Source organism: Homo sapiens, chromosome 1 (genome assembly GCF_000001405.40).
Source record: "Homo sapiens chromosome 1, GRCh38.p14 Primary Assembly".
Taxonomy (NCBI): Eukaryota; Metazoa; Chordata; class Mammalia; order Primates; family Hominidae; genus Homo; species Homo sapiens.
In genome coordinates, this window is record NC_000001.11 from 60,997,473 (window position 1) to 61,017,282 (window position 19,810).

The following is a 19,810-nucleotide window of genomic DNA, read 5'->3' on the forward strand; positions in this document are numbered from 1 at the left end:
TGACACAAAGAACATGCTCAATGAATGTACTGTGATGTTGTTATGAAAAATGAGGATAGGGTCATAGATTCAAGAGTATCATAGGTCACCAGACTCCGCACTGCTCCAAGGACTTGGCCTATACCCTCCATCCAGCTGTTGATGGGAATCAGTACAACACACTGGAGAAGAATTGGGAGTAGGGGCTGAGGAGACAGGTTCTAACTTGGGCTTTGCTACTAACTTAGTCTGTGACCTCGAGCAATTTACGTTTTTGCTCGTGTTTCAGTTACCTGTACGTTAGATAGCAGTTTTAAAAAAAAAAAAAAAAAAAAAAAAAAAAAAGCTACATGGGGGCTCATGTTTGTAATCTCAGCACTTTGGGAGGCTGAGGTGTGAAGATTGCTTCAGCCCAGGAGTTCAAGACTAGCCTGGCCACAGAGTGAGACCCCATCTCTACAAAAAGAAAAAAAATAGCCACACATGGTGGCATGCACCTGTAGTTCCAGCTACTTGGGAGGCGGAGGTAGGAGGATCACTTGAGCCCCGGTGGTGGAGGCTGAGGTACGCTATGATTCTGCCACTGCAATCTAGCTTGGGCAACAGAGCAAGGCCCTGCCTCACAAAAAAAGAAAAAAAAAAAAAAGGTTATTTTCCTACCTCTCAGGATTATCAGAATCAAATGAAATCAAGTATCTGAGCTGACTTTGCAAAGTTGATATAGGGATTTGTTAACTACAAACTAAATGTGCCCTTGATGGAAAAGGAACCTTATGGAATGATGACAGTTAACATTTGTAGAGAGCTTACTCTGTGTCCAGCATTGCTCTAAAAGCTTTCCATGAATTAACTGGCTCACCTGAGACATACAACAATCTTTGGAAGCTAATGTTCTTAACATCTGGTTTTTGTTTTTTTGTTTGTTTGGTTGGTTGTTTTTTTTGAGACAGAGTCTTGCTCTGTCACCAGGCTGGAATGCAGTGGCGCGATCTCGGCTCACTGCAACCTCTGCCCCCTGGGTTCAACTGATTCTCCTGCCTCAGCCTCCCGAGTAGCTGGGACAACAGGCGTGAGCCACCATGCCTGGCTAATTTTTGTATTTTTAGTAGAGACGGGGTTTCACCATGTTGGCCAGGCTGATCTCGATCTCTTGCCCTCGTGATCTGCCAGCCTCGGCCTCCCAAAGTGCTGGGATTACAGGCATGAGCCACCACACCCGGCTAATATCTGTTTTTAGGTGCTGAGCACAAGGAGATTAAGTAATTTCCCAAGACCACACAACTAGTAAGAGGAATGAGGACTCAGACCTAAGTCTCCTGGCACCAAAGCACTTGACCTCTAGTGATGTTCAGTGTATCTCCATTTTCAGACAAGGAAGTTCGTGAGACTGTATCCATAAGGCAAGGTGAGGCAACTAACAAGTAGTATGAGCTCACCACATGCCAAACCATTCCTGGTGCTTCCTCTATGCCTTCCTATTCCTCATGACAATCCTATGAGGCAGATGCCATACGTATTTTACTGCTGGGGAAGCTCAAAGCACATAATTGACATAATTAACTTACCTGAAGTCACCAGCTTAGTACGTAATAATGCTAAGATGTGAGACCAGTTCTTTCTGATGCAAAGGCCCCTGTACTTTCCACATATTCTGCCTGGGTGGAATTTACCCTGATGCCAAACATAATACACACGCACAAAGTAATGCTGTGGCATGCTTTGTCGATGGGCCCAAAATCTAGATATAAGTGGAGCAGCACATTTTATGTCTCTCAGGCCAGAGATACTGCTACACTGGCAAGCACTTCTTTAAGCTCCTGAGCTGTGACAGGACCGTGATATGATGAGTTACACATCACAGGAAGACAAAGTCCTTAATGATAATGCTGGCAGAGTCTGCCCTGGTGGAACTAGGAGCAGGTGGTGTGGAAATTAAAAAGTAACTGGAAAGCAGAAGAAATTGTGGCATTCTTCATTAGGACTGATAGGCAATTTTTGGTTCACTCCCATGGAAATCACTTGCGGATAACCAGGCAGTTATTAAACATACAAGGCTTGTGGAAAGACCCATTCATTACTGAGTCCCTGCACCAGAGTTTCTGATTAGCAAACATTGACATCACAGAGCCTGGCACAAGAGGCCACCATAAATCCTGTCACTTAGCAATAGGATAAGTAAGGCAGCACCTTTGGAAGGACACAATAGAACCGCAGATGTAGCACACAGGTGTTTGGAAATATATCAATATTGAAAATAGGGCCAGGCGCAGTGGCTCACGCCTATAATCTCAGCACTTTGGGAGGCTGAGGAGGGCGGATCATGAAGTCAGGAGATCGAGACCACCCTGACCAACATGGTGAAACCTCGTCTCTACTAAAAATACAAAAATTAGCTGGGCGTGGTGGCAGGCACCTGTAGTTCCAGCTACTTAGGAGGCTGAGGCAGGAGAATCGCTTGAACCCAGGAGGTGGAGATTGTGGTGAGCCGAGATCGTGCCACTGCACTCCAGCCTGGTGACAAAGCAAGACTCTGTCTCAAAAAAAAAAAAAAAAAAAAAAGACTGAAGTGACTAAGTTGCTTGTATTTTCCAGAAATAAACATTTCCCATAATGAAATTCCAAACCTTAGACCCTGTAGTGGAAGCCACAAGGCCAAGACACCACTCCCTTAGACACCCCTGTGATCTTCAGGGCCTCTCCTTTGGTCTCCTGGTCACGTCACACTCATGCAAAATCTGTCAGGGACACTGAAAGGTTTTATACTCAGGTGTCTTGCCCATCTCAGGCGATGGTAACCCATCAGGGTTATGGCACAGGCCATAAACCTGGGAGTCACCCTTGACTCCCTCTCTGTTCTCTCTGTTCTCACAGTCCACATTAATACAACAGGAAATTCTATCTCTATCTCCTAAATATCTCTATCTCCTAAATATCCCCAGAATCCAACCATGTCCACTACTCCCATCCTTATCCAAGCTGCCGTCCTCTCTCATCTGGATTAGGCGACTGCCTCTGAATTAGGCTCCTGCTTTCATTCTTGCCACACTACTGTTTTTTTCAACACTGCAGCTGTCATGATCCTATTGAAATGTCAATCAAATCATGTCATGTCTATACTTAAAACCTCCAATGGTTGGTTCTCTATCTCAGTAAAAGTACCAGATCAAGTCCTTACACTAATCTTTATTAGAAAGGTAACAAAGAGCACACCGTAAGGGCACTGTAGGTCAGTGTCAGGACTTGACCTTGTGCTATTTTAACTCTTCCCCTCCCACTCTCTCTGTGCCAGCCCCACTGGCTTCCTTGCTAACCCTCAGACAGCCCAGAAGTACTGGTATGAGAGCCCACCAGAGTTGCCAGGCTGGGGGAAGGACTATGATGGAGCGGGGCACCTGACCCAGCTCCCGGGTGTCCAATCTAGTGGGTGGAGCACAGTTCCTCTGGAGTAGATGGAGAGCAATGGTACAGGGCCTTTGGTGAAAGCAGAAAAATTGGGCACAAATTGCATGTCGCAGTAAGCTGTGGACAGCCTGAGTGGAGTGGGCAATCTGAAAAGGTGACTTGAACATGATGAGCATGCCGCTGTTTAAAATCTTCTACTGGTTTTCCATCACCTACAAAACAAACTTCTGATTCTGTAACTCAGTGCACAAGGCCCATCCTTTTCTCTCATCTCCCCTGCAGCTCTGGCCACCACGCCCTCCTATGTCCCCTCCTTTGTCTCCTTATTCTAGCCATACCAGGTTGCTAAAATTTACCCAAGCCGGCCACACTGTTCCAAACTTGAGGACCTTCGCTTTTGCCATTTCTTCTGTACAAACACTGATCCCTTCTCCTTCTTCACCCACTCCCTCAATATTCAAAACTCACCTATGGCAAGGCTGAACCTTTCTCCACCACCCCATGCCTCCCTCCCTCACAATACACATACATGCACACACACCTGCACACACCCCATCTGATTTAAGATCGTCCTCCTCTCTGCTCCAATAGTGCTGCGTGTTCACAACTGTCATGCCACTCCATCCATTGTGCTGTAATTGCTGATTTGTTTCCTCCCAGTGGATCATGAGTTCTTTTTTGAAAGGGACTGATTCTTGTGGGTCTCTGTATCCTCAGCATCTAACACAGTACCTGGCACATGATAAGTGTTCTCTTGGCTCCATACATGTGCATCAAATGAGTGAAGATATAAAAGCAGGTGTTCCGTCAACATGGCAGGTTTGACAGCAAGCCACATGCACAGGCCTGGAGGTCTGAGCCAAACCTCCAGCACTTGGGAGCCTGGAGAAAGCAAAACAGGGGTTGGTCTTGCAGGAAATAGGACATGGACAGGTCATCAAATTGAACTATTAAGGACAAGGGGGAAGTCAAGGACTCAGATACAAGAACTGGAAGATAAGAGGTGGGCAAGACAGAAGATTCCAAGACAGGAATGATTTCTAAAGGCTGAAGGAGTTATTGAGCCAGGAGGAAAGTTAATGGATGGAAAGGAAACCAAATCCCCCTGTTAAAGAGAACAGAGTGCAGGGAGCCTGGTTGTCCATAACACTGTGCATTTTCAACAGTATCCTGGTCAGCCGTCATCCCCACCACACTGAAATGGACCTCCTGCAGGCAAGACTGACAGGGCCATCACTTGGCAGAAGCTAAAATAAGTAGGTTTATTCCCACATTTACCCTTAAAGCTTTCTCCCTCTTTTTATCACTTTCTTTTCAAAAAGAACAAGAAGAGATTCACTCACCACATTCACATTTAGCAAGACACGCTCTGGAGTCACATTGCTTGAACTTAAATCCCAGCTGTGCCACTTACTACCTACCTGACTTCTACCAGTCCTATCCTCTTGTAAGCCTCAGCTTTCTCATCTACAAAATGGACATGAAAATAATAGTAACTACCTCACAGGGTGAATGTCCATTGCTACTGTCTTTGGGGTTGTTATTATTATTTATGGCATAGCAATCATGAACACAGACAGTAGAGCCAGACTGTCAGGTTCAAATTCTGTCTCCATTTCTCAGTGGCTCTGTGACCTTGGCAAAGTTGCTTACACCTCAGTGTCCTCATCTGTAAGATGAAGATAATAGCCTGACTTCAGAGGGGTCTTAGGAAAAGTAGAGACTAGCCTAAGAATTCCTGGGTTGTAATAAATGCTATCTAAATATTTGTGGAATAAATACATCATTGTTATTATCAAGAAACCAATGACTTATAGAGCCCCCCTTCTGCTGTGCATTTTGAAAGGCCCAACAAGGGAGTGATTTTTGCCCCAGTGGCATAACACTAACGGTCAGGGGCAAAGGTGATATTGGGGTTTCCTGATATCTCCAAAATAGTACCCTATAAGAACCAGCCCTTTCTCTCTGCTGTACTTCTGGCTTTGCAGGACCCAAACCAGCCCCTTGCTTGCTGAAAAGGTCCCCAGCATTCTGACAACATATAACAAAGGTGTGGGAGGGAGTGGGGCCACGCTGAAAACAGCTGACCCAGTGGACTGGCTGCTGCCACTGGATCTATTTCCCAGTGTCTCGGAAGTTGCTGACTTCAGCCTTTCCAGAGTAAAGCACCGTCCATGGTCAGAGACAGCACCAAAGCAGCACGCAGCACAGCCGTAAATCTATGAGCCATATTATTTAAGAGACCTGACTTCTTGTGTTGCGATATTAAAGCAAATCTGCCTCCTGCTCATAAATCAGCAGGGCTATTTCCATCCTCAGCCACTCGGCTTCAGCCATCTTGAGATGCACATGGCATATATAGTTCACTGGCTTAGGAGGTGTGGGTTGAGAAAGTAAAGGAAGAGATGTATCTGTCTCCTCCCAAAACTCTGTTTTCATGACCCTGCCTGCATGTTCCTTCCCCGTCCCATGACCTTAGATTCCCAGAGTCCTCTGGGAGCTCTAAAAAATACAACATGAACACCTGATATTGATACAGTGAGTTACCCTTTATAGCACTCTGAGTAGATAGGGTAGGCATTGTTAATCTCAGTTTAGAGTTCATGAAACCAAATATCAAAGATATTAAGTGAATTTCCCAAGATCACGCAGCTAGTAAGCAGGGGAGCTTGGATTAACCCAAGTCTCTTAATTCCTGATCCAGTGCTCTTTTCATAGCACTAAGTCTCTGTTATCATTAATTTCTTCACTTGCATAAAGCCAAGATATGCCAGGTCACTCCTGAAAAAAAAATGACCTCAGCTCAAAAATTTTAAATGAACATTGCTTAGAGCCTGCTGTGTGGCAGGTGCTTTCCAATACATCAGCAAATTTCATCACTACATCAAACCCTTCCGTGGCTTCCCTTCACCAAGAGTGAAATCCAAGTTCTTAGCTTAATATACAAGGGTCCTTGTGATCTTGGCCCTGCCTGCACTTTGGCCTCATCTCCTTCTAATACAAATCACAGCCCTCGCTTCATCTTTTCATTCTCCAAGAAGTCTGCCCTGAGCCTCCTCTCACCCTCTGTCTGGGTTGAGGCTCCTTTTCTGTATTCCTCTAACACCCGGCAGTTATCCTTACTTGCAGTACTTTCTGTACTACCTTACCCTGGTCTGTTTACTCATCTGTGTACTCTTTTTTTTTTTTTTTTTTTAAGACAGGGTCTTGGTCTATCAGGCTAGAGTACAGTGGCACAATCATGGCTCACTGCAGCATTGACCTCCTGGGCTCAAGCAATCCACCCACCTCAGCCTCCCAAAGTGCTAGGGTTATAGGTGTGAGCCACTGAGCCTGGCCTCTGTCTACTCTTTAGACTGTGAACTCCTTAAAGGCAGAGATGTAGCACAGTTCTGGGTACAATAGTAGGTGCTCAATAAATGTTCCTGGGCTGAATTGTCACTGCCATTCTATACAGTAAGCATTGTTATCTTCATTTTATAAATGAGGAAATGGAAGTTCAGACACAGGAAGTAAGCTGTCACCATCAGTCCTTTAGGAAGGTCCCAGCTAGGACCAGCACTCAGGGTTCCAGCTGCTGTGCTATAGCCCGTGCCCTCATGGCCTGCCTCTCCCTGTCTTATTCATCTTAGACACTTCTGCTTTTCCAGCCTAAGCTAACACACTGAATTAGCCCTGCCATTCAGCACCATCCAAGGCAAAAGGGAGAAAGAGGGCGTCGCCAGCATCCCAGCCCCCTCTAGTCAGTATGCTTCAACCACCTCTTGAGAAAGGACCCTTGTGGGCCACCCTGGAAGGAATATTGTCCTGAGCACTCCCTGCAAAGCCAGAAGTACAGCAGAGAGAAAGGGCTGACCAGAACCAATGGGTGAAAACCAGAGGGCAGGCTATTTCTACTAACTCACAAGCATTGAGTGTTTACTCTGTGCCAAGCATTTCCCAATAACTAGATCTGTCAGAAAAAGGAATGGACTCTTAGCCATGCCTGGAGGGGGTCTTCCAGAGGCAGGAATGTTGCAAGCAGAGACAGGTACAGAGTTGCCTTGGATGACTACTACGGTCTCTGAATTTGAAGCCCTGAGCCCACAGCTCTTTCTGGGTCCCTCTTTCTCCCCCTCTCCCTCCCTCAGCCCCTTTCCAACTCTTCTAAGCACTATAAAAAGCAAAAGGCTTTGGAAATGTAACTAAAGTAGTTTTATGATGGATTCCAAAACATTACTTTAAGTACGGCTCTAAGTGATTTTGTTTCCAATACTTGCTGGCAGAAAAATATTACCCCTGCATTTCAATGCAGAAGAAATAAGCAGGCTGCATTTGGCCAAATTCATTTATTTCAGTTATTTCCTAAAATGAGTGTAATTTGGAAATCACTAGTATTATTTTCTCCCAGTGCAGGTTAATGCCTTATACATAGCCCTTGGAAGGGACACTTCTTGCAGAGAGAGAGTTATTAGCTTTTTATTTAGAATGTACTGTATAGGTGATTTGTGGGGGTAACAAACCTAAATAATTTAAAGTAGTCTTTATTTGCTGAGAACTGCAGGTTTTTTTAAAGTATATTTTAAATCTTTAAACTTTCAGAGATTAAGAGAGATTGGCCAGGGATTTATTTGGAGCAGGAATTTCTTTTTCTTGTGCTTGCGTCTTTCCCAGCATCCATTCTTTTTTGTGCCTCCATCTAGAATCATGTAATGTCAGCGCTAGAAGAGACCAAAGACAGCCATCCTTTACAGCAGTAGTTTTCAGATTTCTTTTACAGCCAAATCCTTTATGCAAAAAAAAAAAAAAAAAAAAGTGCCACTAGCAATAAAACAGGGAAAACCAGAGTTACAGCTGTCCTGGTTGGGGCTTCTTTGTCCCCTCACCTCTCTTCACTCTCATGCAAATGCCTCACAGAACCCCTGAAGAACACACTTTGAAAACCAAAGACCACTCTCTTTACCATAACAGAACTGAGGCCAGAGGATGAGGCATCACTTACCCAAGGTCACTCAGCAAGTGTAAAGCAGAGACAGCCAGTACTAGAATCTCCTGACTCTGAACCTGTGTGCATCCCACTAGCTCCAGCTGCTTCTTGCGCTTGGCTTTCCCATTTTAATATAGATCTAACAACCATCTTTCAAATTCCCGTCTCTGGGATCTTGCAAAGAGGAAGCCCTGCCCAAAAGCACAGCACAGACTCACACTCATTCATATTAGCGGCAATAAGGATGCTTGACTGAGACCACAAGCTTTGGGCAGGGACTCTTTACGATGTGCCTGTCACTCAGAAGCCATCCTCCAGCAGGGCTTGGTGAGCTTGTCATTTCTAAGCAAGGCACGTTTTTCTGCGGTCCCCTTTCCAAAGAGCAAGTGGTGACAGCCGCCTGGAATGCAGAGTCAGCAAAAGGGAAGCCACTTTGCCTGCAAATGCCCTGCAGAGACCCTGCCCCCTTTGTCCCTCGTCATCATGCTTGCAAGCCCAGGCCTTTTTTCCTGGGAACCAGGACACCCTGTGCTAGTTAATGTCCACCACAGGTCTTTTCTCATGTTCCATAATCCACACTGATTCCATATGTAACCAAGGGCAATTTTTGCTTGTTTATGTGCTTTCTATTTCTAAGGAGGGGAGCGTCTTGTTACATGAAAGGCCTGTTGTCCTGCTAAAGACCTTGATGGGTTTAGGTCTGAGTTTAGAAAGTAAAAGCTTAAGAGCTCATTTCCCCTGCATGAGGAAATGACACAAACTTATGGGGTTTTTTGTTTTGTTTTTATTTGCTAGAGGTGACAGAGTGGACAGGAGAGGGGACAGGAAAGAGGACAGGAAAGAGATAGGGGGTAAGTTCTGCCACATGGCAGGAGACTGGAGTCCAATTTGTCAAACTGGCTAAAGAGATTTCAGAAACAAAAATCCCTAATGTGAAATTTTCAAGTTTTCTGTGTTACTGCAATCAAAATTCCTCCCATTCTATGTGCCTGAAAGCCTAGTTACAAGTGGTTTTCCTGATAAAATTAGGAGAAAGGGTTGGGTTCACACCTGAGTTGATGTGGTAAGGTACCAGACACATCAAGGCATGAGAAAATCCATAAAGGCAGGGTGATTAAACTAAGAGTAGAGCTCAAAGCCAGAGGTGACCCAGAGAACAGAAGACACAGGGTAAGATTCCACCATCTTGGGGAGGTTTTAGTACTTGTACAGTCGTTGAAATGGGGGTTTGAATTTTGTCTTGTTTCCATTAATGGGTGGGAGAGACACCATCTGATGTCCTTTTTTTTTTTTTCTTTTTTTTTGAGACAGAGTCTTTCTCTGTCACCAGGCTGGAGTGCAGTGGCATGATCTTGGCTCACTGTAACCTCCGCCTCCCGGGTTCAAGCCATTCTCCTGGCTCAGCCTCCCCAGTAGCTGGGATTACAGGCGCCCACCACCACGCCCAGATAATGTTTGTATTTTTAGTAAAGACAGGGTTTCACCATGTTGGCGAGGATAGTCTTGATCTCCTGACCTCGTGATCCACCCGCCTTGGCCTCCCAAAGTACTGGGATTACAGGCATGAGCCACTGCGCCCAGCTGATGTCCATTTTATATATACTCTAGCCAGAACATCTAACGCTGTAAAAACACAGATTTTGCCAGCCCTGTCAGAGAATTCAGTGAGTTAAGATACTTCAAACTGGTAACATTTGCTGACTGTAACTACAAACTAGACACACTGACAGTAACTTTCTTACAGTTGTGTTTGCCAGGGTTTGAATACTACCAGAAATCCTTTTTAAGTCTGAACTCCCCAAGTTCTCACCAGGCCACACGTGATTGGTGAGGTCATGGGGTCAAGAGGAGAATGATTGTTTCACTCCAAAGCAGAAAGCATAAAAGACTCTCAGAATAATTAGCCTTTTTGTTACGACTAATGACCAAGAACAGCAATAACAAACATTCCCATTCTTTGCAAAAGATTATCTGAGGTGTTGAAAAGTCCTAGAGACAGACATAGGTTAATGCTGAATGGGAGGTCTAAATTAGGTCCAAACCAGAGGATAAGGTAGAATTTGAAGAATTTGCACACCCAGCAATTTTGGGAAACAGAGAAAGGGCCCTGGTGTTAATCTCCAATGTTCTCAAAATTGAGAAAGAAAAGGCTTCCTTGTGGGTCCGGGGGAACCCATCAAGGTAGAAGTGAGGAGGGGTTAAGGGGGGTGGGGGGCTGCGATGAGGGCAAGGGTGGTACATATCTTCAGGGGAGAGTAAAGGAATAAGCATGTCTAACCAATGCAGGCAAGGTCCAAAATGGTGGCTAGCTTGGAACATTCCAGTCTTCATCCCTTCATTGCGCAAGGTCCCTTCCAATACCCAACCCAGATTTGCTTTCCATTATGTCATCTCTGTAATTTGCCACATCTCCCCTAGACAGGCAGCCTAGGGAAGAGGCCAGAGTGATCCCCATGAGTCCAGAGTCACAGGTTCAAGCCTCAACTCTGCCCTTCTGTGGTTGTAAAGTCAAGAATAGGTCATTCAGCTACCCAAGCTTCAGCTGGTACATTAGCAAACAGTGAGGTTTCAAAAGGTTTGTTTTATAGCAGAACACTTTCTTAAAGTAAAATCTTATTCAGAAGCCCAATATACAAAATAAGTCAAAGCAGACTTGGCTAGGCTAAAGCGAAGGTAATCGTGATGGTGGCAGTTCCTAAGTTGCCCACAGACACAGAGTGCCACAGGGACATCATTCCTTCACATAGAATCCCATGTGAGTGGCAGCCCTGGATTTGTGCAAATTACCTTCACTTTAGTCTAGCCAAGTCTGCTTTGACTTCATTTACATATTGGGCTTCTGAATAAGATTTTACCTAAAGAAAGGAAGAAAGAAGGCCAATGCAGCTGGGGTGAGGCAGAGGGGCGGGGGGAAGAATGACAGTGAGAGACGCATCAGATGAGGTTAGAGAGGGGGCAGGCAGGGACCAGACCAAGCTTTTATGTCTAAGCTAAATCTTATATAGAATTCAGGAACTTTTGCTTCCCATTTTCTTCTTATTAGTGAGTATATTTTCTTTCTTTGGGATACTAGTCAGAGTGAGAAATAAAATTACCAAAATATTGAGGCACACTGGCCAGCCTGACTAAGAACAGCCCCAGGCTAGGGAATATATCTAAGTCCAGAGCAGTGGGCACACCCAGGGCCTGGCACACTGGGAGGCTGCAGAAGCATTTGTTGCATAAATGAATGACTGGAAGAACAAATGAATGATTTTAAGTTTAATCATTAATTTATCAATAATTCCACCCACAGAGCTGGATACTAATTTAGAAGGCCCTCAGTGTTGGGCTAGACCTCCTGCTAGATCCCATCATCAATCCCTTCTACCCTGCCTGCCTACGATCTCCACTCTCTATTCCAATTCCTCCTCTGATGGGCATCTTTTTGCCTGTCAGTGTATAACATAACATTATATAACAACTATAAATGTAAGCCAAAATTTACCTCTCTGAAGCATCTATTCATGAATCCTTTTTCTAATCCTTTGAGGACAGCACAGATTAAGTCTATTTCCTTTTACAGATGAGAGTCTGTCAGAAATTTCTTACCTTCATTTGCTCCATAGAAATCATGTTTCAGTTTTAGACTGGAAAATCGGAGTTCTGTTCCCAGTGATTCTCAGTGAGCATTCTAACATCCTAGGTTTATGGCACTAAACACAGCCCTTGAAGGTGGTGTCTACATTTCCTTGTAATCTGTTTTAGGTATTCATATAGGGAGTTCAGTAACATAAGCATCAGGACCTTTGGCAACTAGGGCTAAAGTTTGAGCTCGATTTGAAGTCTCTTGAGATATGTCGGACAGTTTAAACTCCAACACTTGTGAATATTAGTTTGCACATTTTTCGTAGTCCAATGGTCTAGGGCATTCCAGGATATTCCACCATGCCAAGGTAATGGATTAGTTCGCACAGTAAAACTATCATGACTAATTCAACCCAACTGGAGAACATTATTTGAGGGGAGGGGGTGCAGGGTAGCAGAGGTTACTTAAAGCATTTTGGGTATTTTTTTTTTTTTGAGAAAGGAAACTTGCATGAAGATTGAATGATTTATTAACCCCCAGAGAAGGTGTTACATATAGGTCAAGTCCGAGTTCATTTTCCAGGCAAGGCAGCAGTGGTGAAGGCTTCTGGTTACAAAGTCATCTTATTTTAGTGTTTATAACAATAGGGCTAAGGAGAACATTCAAAGTATTCAAATAATTTAATAAGGCTCATTTTTATTATATTGCTCTTCCTGATAGGGCCATGATCTTTATCTTTAATTTTTTTTTTTTTTTAAATCACCAACCACTCCACAGAACTTTGAGACCAATTTCTTGCCCTGATTGCCAGAAGGGCCATTTTCCTCATTCTCTCAAGGGAACATATGTAGCAGGAGAAGGAAGAGTCCATGACCCCTTGAGCCTTTGGTCAGTGCAGCAACGCCATGGCAGTAATCTCTGGGCCACCATTTGGCTTAATGAATCCGCTTGACTTTAATTCTAGCCCAGATGTAATCTTTTATAGCTTGATGATTTGTTCTCCCAGGCACTCTGATGAAATGCTATAAACTGTTCGCTAGAATCCAGTGAAAATAGTTTTTATTCCTCATTTCTGTTTCTAATTGTTGAGCAATTAGATTGATTCTTGATCTCTTACAATCACCATAAAATTGTACTATGGCAAAGATTCTTAATCATGATCTGCATCACCCTACAAATAGAAAACACTGAAACATTTTGAGAAAAAAAAGAACTTTCTTAATTCATTTAATTAGAAAACATAAAAATACAAGAAGAAGAAATAAGGGGTATTGGTCAAAGGGTATAAAATTTTAGTTATGCAAGACAATTTCTGGAGATCTAACGTAAAGCATAATGAAAATAGTTAATGATACTGTGTTATATGCTTATAATTTGCTGAGAACATAGATCTTAAATCTTCTCAATACACACACGCACACACACAACACAAAACGGTAACTATGTAAAGGTAATGGATGTGTTAATTAACATTACTGTGGTAATAATTTCATGATGTATATCAAAACGTGAAGTTGTACACCTTAAATATACATAATTTTTATATGTCAATGATATCTCAATAAGGCTGTTAGAAATAAAAATTTAAAAGTAAAAATATAATATTATTTTTTACCACAATGATGCCTATTGTCTGAATTAATTAGGTTTCCTGCACCCCAGTGAATGAGACAGATACAGAAACACAGACACAGAAAGATGCCGAGGTTAAGTGACTAACTCGAGGCTAGAGATAGGAAGCCATGGCAGAGCTCTTCAGGAGACCCCTCTTGGTAGCTATCATAGCCCAGAGCCAACAGTCACAATCTAAATTAAACACCCCTAACCCAAGAGAGTCACAGAGATGCCATGATCATACCAGAAAAATTACAACAAGCAGGGCTTGCCTTACAACTCTGAATGCATGTCAAAAAAAGAAAAAAAAGGTACACTATTTTTACCCTCCGTTTCCTCACTTGGAAAAATTACGGCAGTGCCATTTCTAATTCAGCGTTATGCTGGGAAGGTTGTAAATTAATTACAATTATGCCTTCTTTGTGCCAAGTGATAATTTACTGCAATTAATTATCAAAAGATCTACTGCTGTCAATTATGATACTTGCTCTTGAGGGGGGAGGAGCTATTTGTGAGCATCTGAAATCTGTAACAAAGTTATGTTTTGCCTTTTCCCCCTATTTCCAATTAAGCTATTATAATTTGTTTTCATTATGCCAAACACAATGGAGAAGCTAACAATGTTACTCTAACCTTTTCCTTAATCCAAACATTATCTAGACTTTCATTGAGTCAACACTCCTATTGTTACACCTGCAAGTTGTACATAGAGGGAGGCATACTTCAGAATTAATGAGTGCAGCTGTGGTCTCTCTTACATTCAGCACTTGTAAAATAGACCTCTTTAAAGTGCCATTATCACAATATTGATAGAGTTATTTATAGCACTGCAAACGCATCCAGTCATAACAGAGGACTTGTTATCCACAGCGAGTTCATGTTGCTGTCATCCCCTGGACTTCATCCAGCGCCCAGGAGTAGGCACCAGGTGGACCATCTTTCAAAAATGAGCGCTAAAAGACAACCGAAAACTTTTTCTCGAAGTGAATCTGGTAGCCAGGAGTCTATTTAGTGGATGAGTACCTGTAAGAAACATAGCAAGTCAGCCTGAGCCCAGATACCATGAACGCTGGCCCATGGTAGCAGGGCAGGCTATTCAGGTATATACGGGATGTCACCCACGAGCTGACCCTACATGGTTCTGCTGGAAAGTTGGAAACTCCAGGTGCAAGGCTGGTGCTATTTCTTCATAAGCAATTCGAAGAGATGTCGTGCAGAAGGGCAACATCAGGAGGAATTACCCTTGCTTACACTCTTCCACTCCACAGAGGATGCTTTGCTCCTCTTTACTGTGTGGGAACACCTTATATGCATCTTTTCCCTCATTAAATTTTAAGCTCATTGTGGTTAAAGAGTATACCTTATCTGTTTCTTTATTAGCCCAGTGCTGGACACATGATCAGCATTCTGTAAATTTAAGAATTCTTTGCCATGTGCTAATCGAGTGCTAAGCACAGCACTAGGTCCTATAAAACAAAAACATAAGTGAGTCATCATTTCTTCTCTTAAGAATGTCACAGTCTAGGACAAGGTTCTGTGCCCTTTTTTGGAGTCATGAGATCTTTTGTTAATCTGCTAAGGTAAACACTTTGAGACCTCTTTCCATAGAAAAAAAGCGACTTCATGTCAGTAGAATAGAACCCAAGTCTCTACTCCAGGGTCAGAGCTCTTGCAACAGAAGTGGCCTCAGAAGCCATCTGTCAGACAAGGGTGAGGGTGCTGAATGCAGACATCATGCACATCCAGACTTTTTTTGGACAGTGAGGGTGACAATCCCTCCAGCTGCCCCTGAATGCAGCTGGTAGGGATGAGGGAGAGGACTGTCAGTGTCTTATAAGGACTCTGCAAAGTAGGGACCCTCTGAGAAAAGTGACAGGCTCCTCTGCAGCAAATGGTCTGATTTTCTGTCACCTTTCAGGATGCCAGGTAGGTGGGAAATCTCCAGATTTGCCCAATTTTAGGGAGTCATAAACCTGTGAACCTCACCCAGAGAACCCCCCAACCCCCATAGCTAGTGGCGATGAAGGGGCCAGTTGAGAAAGTAGTGTGTTGGGAGAATGTAAAAGTCCCAAGAGCAGAGCATGCCTTGGCTTGCGGGGAAAAGGCAGTTTATCAGCTCACCTTCCTCTCAGATGTCTGTTCTTCCCAAAATTGTTGGCCTGCCTTCTTCCCATACTTGGGGCCAGCCGGTCATTGTATATTTTTGTAAATTTAGGTTTAAGTTTGGGGATTTGATTTCTTTTTCCCACCTGGATTCCTATCATGTTCACCCCACCTCCCCCAGTCCCACTCCTTGGGAGTGTGGAAGACGAACACATGCAGACCAAACTTGCCAAGCAAATAGGTCAGAGCCTTTGCCAGCCCCCACCTCAGGGCCCAGGGATAACAGAAAGCCAGCTGAGAGGGCGAGATAAGCCCTAATGCATAATCTTCCCCACCCATCCACATCTGAGTTTGCAAATAGGCATTCCAAAGTGACCCTGGCTCAGAGGGTTTTCAAAGTGATGAATTCTCCCTCAGCCACACTCTGCCCTGCCTTTCATTCCATGGTCACCCAGCTATCTCTAACCTGCAATGGGCAGCCTACAGGGAGAAAGGGGATGTGACCATCCTATGCAGAGAAATCTGTCATTTATCTTCAGTGTAAGGCCAAACAATTGCATAGTTTGCAAAGAACCTGACATAAGTCACCCAGGTTTTCCCCCAAACCCCACTGCTTGCATTTACTGGCATCAGAGGAGATTTTTTTCCTGGCAGAAGGCAGCTCTGGCTGCCGCCTGGGCACACTGTGTTCATGAAGTACTTCTCTGCTTCTTTCTATGACAGGAGCACCTGTCATGGAGAGAGCTAGAGCAGGGGGACACTGGCATGCTAGTCCTAACTCTGCTGTATCACACAGAACATTTTCCTCCAAGCCTTGACTTCTTTGTCTGAAACATAAAATGGTTAGCCTAGATCAAAGGCTGCAACCTCAAATGCCCTCTGGGATCAGACATGTAACATATATGGCAATGTCAGCCAACAGAGTGTTCAGAACTTTATGAACAGAAGAAAGCCTTTAGCCCCACCTAAAGACATTTTTATTCTCAAATGTTAAAATGTGCTTGAACAGCAAAATGTGTCTGTAATCTCAATTCATCCCATGACTGCTAGTTGTGAGCCTGGCCATGGATCACAGTACTAAGGCAAAATGGCACTGTTGGTATTTCAGTACTTCTTTTACCCAGAGGCCTTTAAAAACAATATTTAGAACGTTTTAAATAAAATTAGTGAAATTAAATGTATTTCCTATTTGAAATTTAGCTGAGCATTCTTTGGCCACAACCGGTTCTGCTGCTGACTTTGACATCAGTGCCTTCTGCCTGGGGCACCTCAGAGCAACTAACTGTGTGATGGAGCCAGTCCAGGTGGGATTTGAACACTCCTGCAGCTTTCAGGACCCCCTCCTCTGGGCAGCTCCTCTACTCTGACCGGAAGCTCTTTCATTGCAGCAGTTTTAATTTCTCTCCCATCTTCCCAGGATGGATGGCCCTGTCTGCAGCCTAACCTTCCTCTGCTTGTGTAGGAACAGAAGGTAGGCAGAAGTGCTGAGTTTCATTCAAAGCTGGCTTTCCTTAGTAAAAAGTGTTGGTGATATTATTCAATTTCTACCATTCCCGTGGCCAGCCTCTGTGCCTGGGGTGAGGGGAGAAGATGGAGGGAGAGAGGTGCTCAAAGGGGATGGGAGAGGAGAGGGCAGGAGAGTTGCAGGCAGCTCTTCTGCTCTGTGTTCCTCTAGCAGCAACTATACTTACCTCTGTCACTACACTTTTCATTTTGCATTATTATTTTTGTTGTTTATTGGTTATTTTATTGCTTACATGTCCCATTAGAACTGCAAGCACCTTGAAGATATATTTGTGTCCCCAGTATCTAGCACAATATCTGACACATGGTAGACACACCTTTTCTTTTTTTTTTTTTTTTTTTTTGAGACAGAGTCTCACTCTGTCACCCAGGCTGGAGTGCAGTGGCAGGGTCCAAGCCCACTGCAACCTCTGCCTCCGGGGTTCAAGCAATTCTCCTGCCTCAGCCTCCCGAGTAGCTGGGATTATAGGCATGTGCCACGACGCCCAGATAATTTTTGTATTTCACCATGTTGGGCAGGCTGCTTCACCATGTTGAGACAGGGTTTCACTATGTCGTATTTCACTATGTTGGCCAGGCTGATCATGAACTCCACCCACCTTAGCCTCCCAAAGTGCTAGGATTACAGGCATGAGCCACCACACCCAGCCAAGGTAGACATGACATATTTTTTATACAAAATGCATTACTCCTTACCTCTTGTTTGTTGCAAGGATGTTGAATGCATGTAAACAAAATAAAGAGGAGAAGGCATTCTGGGCTTGGGGGGAGCATAATCATAATAAATGTAATTTATAATTAGATAGATATAGATGTAGATATTTGTGTTTGATGTCTATCTTTTCTACTCCAGTACATTGCCAGCACCTAGCACAGTCCCTCACATATAGTACATACTGAATGAATATTTTCAAAATGAATGAATGAGAGGAGAAAGAGCATTTTGCAGGATTTCCATTTCTTTCAACCTACCCTGACAGATGGCTTTAGCTCCCCTGCTTTCTCAAACTTACCTACCAGATTCTCCCCTCTTAAGTAATAGATTGATACTTCCTTGTATCTTTGTGTTCACTGAGGGTCTAGAAGTCTTGAAGGAAAACCCCATGCAGAGTTTATGTACATACATGATAAGCCAGACTGACAGTTCTATCAGAACGGCCTTTTTCATAATTTAATTAAACTCTCTTAAATGTAGACATCAGTCAAGGACAACTTTACTGATTGTGTCTAATTGCACATATTTTCTTACACTTTTACTGAAGCCTATTTTTCAAGTTGCTTGAAAGACTGCTCCTATTTCTGAAAGGGGATATGCCAAAGCAGGGTTTTAATTCATTGCCTTTTGGACACACCGTCATTCCCTAGCTAGCACCAATCTGCTACAAAATGTGATTGTGTGATTACTTATAGGAGTCTCAAGCCACCTTTTTACAAGAGTTGGCTGGTTAACTACTAGAAAATTCAGAAAACCTGTCTGCCTTTCATTCATTTAGTCAATCAGCAAACATTTATTGAGTCCCTATTATGTGCTAGAAATGCTTATTGAGTCCCTATTATGTTCATTCAGTTAGTCAATCAGCAAATACTCTGTCTAGAATGATATGATTCATCAAGATCGGCTTCAGATCTTCCCCAAGGGCAGGCTTTGAGAGTAAGTGGGATTGGTGAGAATGGTGGATTTCAGCCTTGAACGTGACATGCGGGCAGCTGGCGTGTGTAGAGAAAGAAAGCTACTTGTGGGATCGTTTTCTATTGCTGCTAAGACAAATTACCAAAAACTTGATAGCTTAAAATAACACAACTTTATCATCTTACCCTTCTGTAGGCTAGAAATCTAACATGGGTCTCACCGGCCAAGGTGTTGGCACGGCTGTAGCCCTTTCTAGAGTCTCTAGAAGAGAATCTGATTCCCAGCCTTTTCCAGTGTCTGGAGACCACCCATAGCCCTTGATTCATGATCCCTTCCCCATCCTCAAAGCCAGCAACGGTGCTTCTCTCTAACCATTCTTCTCTCGTCACATCTCCCTCTCTGACCTTTCTGCCTCCTTCTTTCCCTTTTAAGGACACTTTTGATTGCTTTGGACCCAGCTGCATAATCGAAGATCCTCTCCTTTAATTCCATTTGCAAAGTTAATCCCCCTTTGCCACGTAAGGTAACATACTCACAGGTTCCAGGGATTGTGGCATAGACATCTCTGAGGAAGGGGCATTATTCTGCCACCACATGGAAGAAGGGTGCATGATGAGACAGCGCTGGGGCATTTTGAGAAGGAGGTATCATGGCATGATGGGAAGATCCTTTTCCACTATAAACCTGGGCTCAAATCACAGCTCATTCCTGTACTAACCCGTGAATTTGAACAAGTCATTTGACATCTCTAATCCTCAGTGTCTTCATCTAAAAGGTGTAGATAACAATAATTCCTTCCCAGAAAATGTGAGGGAATAAAATGTTTTTTAAAGTTAATGAAGCAGTGCTTGGCCAAGAATAGGTACTCAGTGAATGAGGAGGAACAGTAAGAAATATGTTTTGGCTGGACCATTAAGGGCCAGCAAAGGAGCAAAAGGAAATAGGAATGGAAAGATGCACAGCAATAACATAGTGAAGAATCTTGAATGCCAAATTTTATTTTACAGACCATGAAATGTTATCA